This window comes from Homo sapiens, chromosome 6, assembly GCF_000001405.40.
Source record: "Homo sapiens chromosome 6, GRCh38.p14 Primary Assembly".
NCBI lineage: Eukaryota > Metazoa > Chordata > Mammalia > Primates > Hominidae > Homo > Homo sapiens.
Window position 1 is genome coordinate 1,169,339 of NC_000006.12, and position 10,241 is coordinate 1,179,579.

The 10,241-nt window shown below is 45.1% G+C and overlaps 1 long non-coding RNA gene across 1 annotated transcript; it reads left to right on the plus strand.

Annotated features, from left to right (window-relative positions):
- Positions 1–471: 471 nt before the first annotated feature.
- On the plus strand, positions 472–2,571 carry LOC124901237 (uncharacterized). Its single transcript, XR_007059394.1, has 3 exons — positions 472–506; positions 1,610–1,684; positions 2,521–2,571. It is a non-coding gene; the product is annotated as an uncharacterized LOC124901237 (long non-coding RNA).
- Positions 2,572–10,241: the final 7,670 nt, after the last annotated feature.

Consider the following 10,241-nt stretch of genomic DNA (forward strand, 5'->3'; position numbering starts at 1 on the left):
GCAAACATTTATTAAACCCTACATGCTAAGGGCTGTTCTGTAGGCTTCACGTGAAGAAACATGTAATAACACCGTGGGGAGGGCAGAATTTTTATTCTCAGTTTACAGATGAGGAAACTGACGCAAACAGAGGCTAGATGTCTTCCTGTAACAAACCCACTTACTGACAGTCTCCTCCAAGACACACCCCCACACACACCATTTGAACACAGAGATCCTAGCGAATGTGTCGTGACTGCCGCTGCCAGACACTGCTGAGAGTGCTCCAGATCAACTCACCCATTTAATCCTCAGGACAACCCATGAGGCGGTACTGTGATCGCCCCACTTTACAGATGAGAGGACAGACACACAGAGCCACGGAAACCAGCCCCGGGTCACACAGCTGGGAAGGGGCCGTGACTTTCCTACTCAGGCCCGCGGCACACAGAGCCCCAGAGAAAGGCTCAGGAGAAGGGAGACGCGTGGGACTAATGGTCTTGGAAGCACAGCCGGGGTGACGGAAGGTAAGGTTCATTCCGAGACAGTTGCTGATGGGGTGTGTAGCTCACCCCAACCTGTCTGTACCCAGCAGGCTTCAGCCCCTGGCCTGGGAGGGGCCTGGGGGGAGATGGCTGACTATGGGTGGGCTACAGGAAGAACAACACCTTGGGTCTGGCAGTGGCAGTGGCACAGAGAGCTGCCATTCGCCTCTGAGGACCATGGAGGCCAGAAAAATAGCTGTGGGGCCTATGAAAAAAGCCACCAGGGTGGCAGCGGGAACAGCAAATGCAGACTGGCTGGATGGGGCCAGAGAGAGGAGCCCCGCACGAGCCTGGAGGCCCCCAAGCTCTGACAGTCCCTGCGGCTCCAGGGTGCTCCATGGGCAGGGCTCCAGGGTCAGAGCCTCATGCCATCTCGGTCCCTATGGGCTGCTCAGCTGAAAATACAGGGCAGCTAGAGAGCTACTGGTCAAGCAGCCTAAAGCCCTCTCTCCATAGGTTCAGGATGGCCCCTCAGGAGACCTGAGCTCTCGCCCAAGAATGCTGGGGCAGCTGGATACCTCTTCCAGGCCTCAGATACCTCATTTGTTAAATGGGGGAGTCAGACAAAACCATCTCTGAACTCCTTCTAACTATAACATGTGTGGTCTGAAATTTTTAAAAAGGGAAAGGCAACGAAAGCAGAGAAGAGGTGAAGACAGGAGGGGAAAAAAGAACAGAGAAAACTCTCTGTGTGCTGGGGGACTGCGTTCCTTCCAGCTCTGATGTACTTATCTCTGTCCATAAAGAGAAATCCCTCCCCATCATACTGTTGGCTTTTGGCCCTTCGTCTGCATTACCAAACCTCGTTCTTACTGCATCTGTGCTTCTATTATGAGTGGCGTCCTTCCATCTTGAAGTAGGCAGGGTATAAACAAATGAAACCAGGGATCCCAATTACCTCACTTGTCTGTGTTCAACGGCCGAGGCACAGAGAGCCGAAAATGCAAGAACACGGTAGCTAGGAGGGACCGATTCTCATGCAGGGACAACAGTGCCAGCCCCAGGCAGTGTCACAGGTGCTGGGTTGGGGTCTGGGCTGAGAATCTGGGTCTCATCAGTGACATCAACATGGATCATGCCACCAGCAGTGACAGCATCTTCATGCAGCCAGAAGCCGCTGACTCTACGAAGAATGGAAGACGGCCTTGAGTGCTTTCCAGGTACTGGCACATTGCCAAGGCCTCTCACGTCCCCCTTCCTGCCTGAAAATCCACTGTTCATGTGCTACTTCTGCCGGAGGTTTAGATAAGAGGAGGGAGTACACAGTTTTCTGAAGGTAAGGGGCACCATCCTGGGACCTTCCACATACTCCTCAGTGAGCAATAGTGCACCCTAGGTTTGAACTGAGGAGACAGGGAGACTTGAGGCAGATCAGGGCTTCTGGACCGTGGTTCAATTTGCTGCCCAGGTCCATCCGGGGGCAGCATCCCTGGCACCATTTGCTTTTACCTAATAATCCAACACACGCACTAAAGAAAGGAGGGAAGTCACCCCTGCTTCCATCTCTCATCTACTGCATTCATGGCCCATCCCAACTTTACAACTTTATTTTTATTTTTATTTTTTTTGAGATGGAGTTTCGCCCTTATTGCCCAGGCTGGAGTGCAATGGTGCGATCTCAGCTCACCGCAACCTCTGCCTCCTAGGTTCAAGTGATTCTCCGGCCTCAGCCTCCCGAGTAACTGGGATTACAGGCATGTGCCACCACGCCTGGCTAATTTTGTATTTTTAGTAGAGACAGGGTTTCTCCATGTTAGTCAGGCTGGTCTCGAACTTCCGACCTCAGGTGATCTGCCCACCTCGGCCTCCCAAAGTGCTGGGATTACAGGTGTGAGCCACTGCACCCGGCCTACAACTTTCTAAGGGAAGGTATCCCACCATTGGGTGAAGTCTGGTCCCAATAATCAGAAAACAGAAATCACTCAAAAGCAAAGAGGTCCTACCTGCCATGTAGGTGATCACACTTTGACATTTCTTTCTGCCTCTACCCATACAGGTTTGAACTTCACTAAGGAAAAAGAATAGCCTGTACAAATGTCAAAGCCCGAAGTGAAAACTGAAGTCCTCAGCATAAGCAGGAACCATTCCCAGATGGGAGGGAAAGTGCCTAGGAAGTTGCTGAGTCCACACTCAAGTTGTTGTTTGATAAGTTTTACAAAATGACAAAGATTGGGCCATAGACAGACATATTTGATGTACATTCTGGTATCTGCAGATTTGATCAGGTACAAAATTTTTAAGCCATATTGATTATGAGACATGTTTTGGTATTTGCATATATATATATATTTTGAGACAGAGTCTTGCTCTGTTGCCAGGCTGGAATACAGGAGCTCAATCTTGGCTCACTGCAACCTCTGCCTCCTGGGTTCAAGTAATTCTCCTGCATCAGCCTCCCAAGTAGCTGGGACTACAGGTGCGTGCCACCACACCCAGCTAATTTTTTGTATTTTAGTAGAGACGGGGTTTCACCATGTTGGCCAGGATGGTCTCGATCTCCTGACCTCGTGATCCACCCGCCTCAGCCTCCCAAAGTGCTGGGATTACAGGCATGAGCCACTGCTCCCAGCCTGGTATTTGCATATTTGATCAGGTATATAATTTTTAAGCCATTTTGATTATGAGAGTACAGGAAAAACATAAACTATACTCTGGAAATGTATATGTGTATATTCCATACATACACCCCATATGCATCCCACATGTAGATTCCATGTATACTCCATGTACATATGACAAAAGAGCTGATGTATCAAAACTTCTTTTGAGATGGCTAGATTTATTTTTCTATATTTTAAGTTTACAAAATGCCTTTGTTTGTTGGATTTTTCATAAACTGGCTCCTTGCCTGAGCCGTGTGTGGAAGAGTTCTTTTAATTTCATAGCTTCTAAATGTTAGCTTCTAAATAAATGTTGGCTACATGAAAGAGGGGTCCTTTATAAATCCACGAACAAAAATCAAAGTGTAGGAAACAAAACACACCTTTGAATTTTATTTCATCTTTCTCTTGCAAGTTTCAATCCAGGAAAGGAACCCTGTGCAGTCTGATTTTTTCTTTTTATACTTTAAATTCTGGGATACATGTGCAGAACATGCAGGTTTTATACATAGGTATACATGTGCCATGGTGGTTTGCTGCACCCATCAACCCATAATTTACATTAGGTATATCTCCTAATGCTACCCCTCCCCTAGCCTCCCACCCCACAAAAGCTCCAATGTGTGATGGTCCCCTCCCTGTGTCCACATGTTCTCATTGTTCAACTCCCACTTATGAGTGAGAACATGCAGTGTTTGGTTTTCTGTTCCTGTGTTAGTTTGCTGAGAATGATGGTTTCCAGCTTCAACCATGTCCCTGCAAAGGAAATGAACTCATTCTTTTTTATGGCTGCATAGTATTCCATGGTGTATATGTACCACATTTTCTTTATACAGTTTATCATTGATGGGCATTTGGATTGGTTCCAAGTCTTTGCTATTGTGAACAGTGCTGCAATAAACATACATGCACATGTATCTTTACAGTAGAATGATTTATAGTCCTTTGGGTATATACCCAGTAATGGGATTGCTGAGTCAAATGGTATTTCTGGTTCTAGATCCTTGAGGAATTGCCATACTGTCTTCCACAATGGTTGAACTAATTTACACTCCCACCAACAGGGTAAAAGTGTTCCTATTTCTCCACATCCTCTCCAGCACTAGTTGTTTCCTGACTTTTTAATAATTGCCACTCTAACTGGCATGAGATTGTATCTCATTGTGGTTTTGATTTGCATTTCTCTAATGAGCCGTGATGATGAGCTTTTTTTCATATGTTTGTTGGCTGCATAACAGCCAACTTTTGAGAAGTGTCTGTTCATGTCATTTGCCCACTTTTTGATGGGGTTGTTTTTTTTTTCTTGTAAGTTTGTTTTAGTTCCTTGTAGATTCTGGATATTAGCACTTTGTCAGATGGATAGATTGCAAAAAAATTCTCCCATTCTGTGATTGCCTGTTCACTCTGATGATAGTTTCTTTTGCTGTGCAGAAGCTCTTTAGTTTAATTAGACAAAAACAAGCAATAGGGAAAGGATTACCTATTTAATAAATGGTGTTGGGAAAACTGGCTAGCCATATGCAGAAAACTGAAACTGGACTCCTTCTTTACATCTTATACAAAAATTAACTCAAGATGGATTAAAGGCTTAATATATAACCTAAAACCATAAAAACCCTAGAAGAAAACCTAGGCAATACCATTCAGGACATAGGCATGGGCAAAGACTTCATGAATAAAACACCAAAGCAATGGCAACAAAAGCCGAAATTGACAAATGGGATCTAATTAAACTGAAGAGCAGTTTGATTTTTAGTAAGGCTTTCCGTGAAAATAGCGGAGAGATGAGAAACTGCTCTATCTGACGTGAACTGCATTATTGCATTAGGTCAAGAGGACTTGCTTTAACATCATGAGAGGCTCCTGGGAAGTCAGAAACTATTAAAAACAGTGTGGCAAGGTCTGTAATACATGTATTTTTTGAGAAGTCTACCCACATCTTTCATCAGATTTTCAAAAGGGTTCATGTCCTTAGAAAGTTTCAGAATGGTCCTGTTACATCAACCAACTCAAGACCTTCATTTGAACCGTTTTGTTGACATTAACATCTCAACAAAAAAGTTAAAATGGCCTTAATTTACACTATTATATATGATTTGGCAACTCATCTTAATTACAGAATTGTTTTAAGATATTCAACTTTACTACATTCAAGAAATTCCTATAGAACTAGATTTAATACAGTCACACACAGCATAACAATGTTTTGGTAAACCACAGACCACATTTAGGATGGTGGCCCTATAAGATTAAAATACCTTTTCTATGTTGAGATACACAAATGCCACTGTGTTACAATTGCCTACAGTATTCAGTACAGTAACATGCTGTACAGCTTTGTAGCCTGGGAACAATAGGCTCTACCATTGAGTCTAGGCATGTAATAGACTCTACTTCCTAGGTTTGTGTAAGTTCACTCAATGATGTTCCCACAATGATGAAATCACCTAACGACACATATCTCAGGTGTATCCCTATCATTAAGTGATGCATGACCATATTTATGTCTAATATTAATATCTCTTTAGGAAAATATCTCTTTAATTTTATTTAATTCTTTTGAAAGTAAATGGATACTTGTCAAGTTTAAAAAGACTTTAAACAATGGATTCTGTTTAAAAGTTATAAACTTTTAAAATTCCAGTAATTTTATTTAGCTATTAATTTACTTACCAAATCCTTTCTTTTGCTGATAGCTCAGGTTGAATCAGTTCAACTTCTATCTAAATTACCTCATAGGCCAACTACAAGACTCAAAATCAATTGACTTATATTACATAAACGCAGATAGTTAACAAGACACTCACGTACCAAACCAGAAAATGGCTTATGTTGAGACTAGTTAACATCAGCATTGGATAATCTCATCATCCACAAAATGATAAGGGAAAAAGATGCATTATAAAGATTAGACAGAAAACATTGTTAGCGGAGCGCAGGAACTGGATTAGAGGTAGACTTACTGCCGCCCGAACACATCCAGGTTCTTAGCAAATGAATATGGCTGACACTAATATCAACCTGCTAGTTTTGATCTGAGCCATGACCCATATTTCAAGACATATATATTGGAATATTTCTCAACGCAAGCAAACCTCTTCCTTAATTCTTACTTCTCATCCTCACCCCTTTGAGTTAAGTGCCTCACAAAGTGGTACTAACAGTGCACTTGTAATGCTGTTTTGTGATCATCTGCTATTTGTTTCTAATCCTGGACTGCATGCCCCTTTTTTGCAGGATTCACATCTTTTTATCTGCAGTCTCTGGCACATGTTAGCTTCTAAATAAATGTCACTGGCTAAATGAAAGAGGGGCCCTTTATAAATCCACAAACAAATAAGTACCCAAGTGTAGGAAACAACACACGTTTGAATCTTATTTCATCTTTCTCTTGCAAGTTTTGATTCAAGAGAGGAACTCTGTGCAGTCTGATTTTTAGTAGGGCTTTCCATGAAAACAACGGAGAGACAGGGCTACTTGGCTAAGATTTCAGTGCTCTCCCGGTGGAGCTTGCTAGAGATCAGACGCATCACTTACCCACTTTCAATGGGGCAGCGTGCTTGGGGAGAAATGGATCTGCAGCTACAAGCCTGCATTGCACAAGCCTGTGGGTTCCTGCTGCCTATATCAACAGGAGGCCTTTGCCCAGCAAATGGTTTGGTATACTTTTCATCTTCCTTGACAATTAAAGCTCCAATGTGGCATGTTTGTGTTTCAGGTGAAAGGTTTAAGGCACTAAGGAAGAGTCACCCTTGTTGCCTCATCAACATTAATTAGCTGGCATGATTTCCAAATAGCCTTTGATTAAAACCTTTGAGACAGTGACAGTCAAGAAAAACAAGGTCCAAGTCTGTGTTCATCGAACAAAACAAATGCAGTCCAGAACAATCATTTCTTGGCCTTCATGTCCCGAAAAGCAGACCCACAAAAGACAGGCCATCACTCAGGTTCATCTGAGAGCAACCTGCAAGCGGATCCAGGCTTAGGGCATAACAAGACGGCCCACAAGCCTCGACTATAGAGAGGTTCACAAGCACTTCTCAAGGAGCCTGTAGGAAGCTCTGTTATCCCCAGCAGATAACGCAGACAATACTAAAACATGGCCCACCATGGCAAGACCAAGTCTCAGATCTCTCCTCCTGGGTTGTATGTGCTGGCCAAGGGCCTCCAAGTCCCAACGGGAACGTTCTATCTACACCCGCAGCCTCCTGGCCCTTCCCTCCCTTCAGCTGCTGCAGCCCACATACACCTCACTCACCTCGTACACATTGTACGCCTCATCACTTCTCTCCTCTCTCAGCTTGGTGAGATCAAAGGCTGCGGCTGATGTGGATAAATTACACTCTAATGTGAAAGACATTCAGTCATGCTATTGCTTTACCTCAGGCATCAGAGTTGGGCAATAAAGAAAAGGCTTGTGCCTGGGTAGAAAAGGACTCCAGGCATCTTTCCAGTGCCCTTTGAATGGAGTCACTCCAGCTTCTCCTGGGAGCTGTTCTGAAGCCACTGGGTTCAGTCCAGTGCCCCTTGAGTGCCTCCTCTGTGCCAGGCACCGTGCTAGGTACAGAGGATGAAAAATGGGTAAGACACAGCCCGGGGGTCTAGTTGCAGGGTTACATGTGTGATTTTGCTCTGCTTCCTGGCGTGGGAGAGGTAGATGAAGGGAAATAGACCTTGGTTTCCCCCGACAAACCCAGCTCTCTTGCAAGGGAGACTGGTTACAGGAACCTCTGTTCCAGGCTCCACCTGCTCACTCACAGCCACAGCCCACCCAAATTCCACATCCGAGGGTTGCTCTTTCTGCCTCCATCCCCTCTCCAGAGCTCCTGGCTCCCTACAAGCCCAAGTCTCCCTCCTGCTCAGCCCCACACACATGAGAAATCCAGAATCTGTTTTCCCTAGGTTTGCTTCCAGCTCATATGTTCCCTGTCCCACGTCGTGAGAGCTTTTCTGCAGTCAGTCACAGGTAGCTTCCTTAATTGCATAGATTTCTGGTAGCAGATTTTCTTCCTCAATTTTGACCCACTCTGGTCTGTAAAACACTATGAACCTATTTATGTTTTCCTGAAATCACATTAACCAGAGATTTGAGGGCTGCCCTGCTTCCAAACATGTTAGATAATGTTAATTCAGGGTCTTAAATAATGCTGCAAATAATTCACTCGGTGCACAGTTTACTAGCAAATACACAAGATTTGGCTGAATGAAATTATGTTGACTGTTGGTGAGTGCGGAGTACTTTTTTTTGCAACAGTCTGAGGTTGAACTTCATTGGTTTGAAATTGTGAGTCACAGCCTGCATGCTTCTCATCCACAAATTGCTTCCCTCTAAGCAGTGATTCTCAGTTGAAAGTGATGGCACTCGGACCCTGGGCAGTGTCTGGAGACATTGGGGATGAGCACTGGATGTTCCTGGCACGTGGTGGTTGGGGGCCAGAGATGCCCCCAACCATCCTACAACATCCAGGTTAGGCCCCACAGTGGAGAATCACCCAGCCGAAACGTCAACAGGACCACAGTTGAGCAACCTGCTTTAAAGGAATCCACTGGATGCCTGCAGTGTTCTCACCACCCCAGGTTCACTCCGATTGTCCCACATGTCATCCTTCCATGTCACTCAGGTGAGCTCAATAGGAGGTCCTTCAGGAATTCTCCATGAGAAAACCATTCTGGCTTCCAGTGCTGCTACAGCTGGGGTCTGGATGGCTTTCAATATTCTCTTCTACAGGAGCATGTCTTTGCATGGTGCCAGGGAAGCCAGAGATAGCTAGCAGATTCCCCTGAGCCTCATTCACATTAGAAGCCCTTGCTGTTGTCAGAAGGGAACCTAAAAGAGAGTTGGATATTTAACTTTTTAAATTTGTTTGCTCAGTTCAGATACATAGGTGGGATGGTTCTATATTATGATACACGCTTGGCTCCATGTTGTCTGGATAATGATCACTACCATGCTGGACAAGCTATGTATGGTGTAAATGGACACTTTCTGGAGAGCACCCGTCACATCTCACCCTCAGAGCCTCCTGGTCAGGGTCTCCTGAGGTATAAGTCACCATAGTTACTTTGGAGACCTTGCTATCCTGGCCACAGTGAACTAGACCAAATATTGGTGTCTGGCCCAAGTATGATCCAGAAGAGAGCCTGGAATAAGAGCTCCACTCAATGTGAGTGCTTAATACAGATGACAGACTGGCAGGAACCACCACATGCTCTGGGTTGCAGTGTTTGTGCTACCTGTAGAGGCAGACAGTTGCGAAACACAGCAAAGGCAGCGGACAGAACCCATGAACCTCAGAGGATATCAGCAAGCAGAAGCACACTGCAGAAAGAACACCAACTTGGATGTGTTCCCGTGAATCCCAGCTACCCAGAGCCATCATGGGCTCATGGGTAGGTGTTCAGTTAATCTGTGTTTAGAGAATGATTTAAGAATAGGGAGATGTCTGGCAGCAGTAGCAGGAGATTAAGAAGGAAAGACATCAGGGAGCTCTTGACCATGATGTTGGAGCTCAGTGTAGAAAGTGTCACCCACTGCTGAGTGGATGACAAGATCACCTGATCCCTAGATGTCTCATGTCCTATATAGCATGCCTCCCTGCCTGAGGCCAAGCCAGGCCACTCTTGGGGCTGCTTCCTGCTCTCTTTCTTACCTGTGTAATTTCAAAATAAAATGACAGTAACTTAGATACTCTGAAATGTCTCTTAAAACCCCCAAAAAGGGCTGGGAGTGGTGGCTCATGCCTGTAATCCCAGTACTTTGGGAGGCCGAGGTGGGTGGATCACAAGGTCAGAAGTTCAAGACCAGCCTGGCCAAGATGGTGAAACCCTGTCTCTACTGAAAATACAAAAATTAGCTGGGCACGGTGGCAGGCACCTGTAATCCCAGCTACTCGGGAGGCTGAGGCAGGAGAATTGCTCGAACCTGGGCAGCAGAAGTTGCAGTGAGCTGAGATCGCACCACTGCACTCCAACCTGGGCAATAGCTCTGTCTCAAAAAAAAAAAAAGTCCACAAGACTTTGTCAAGATGGAAATGAAGTAGAGACCTTGAACCTGGAGGGGTTTTTAAGCGAATGGAGGACCAGTGGACCTAAGATGTGTACCTGCCCCTGGGGTTAA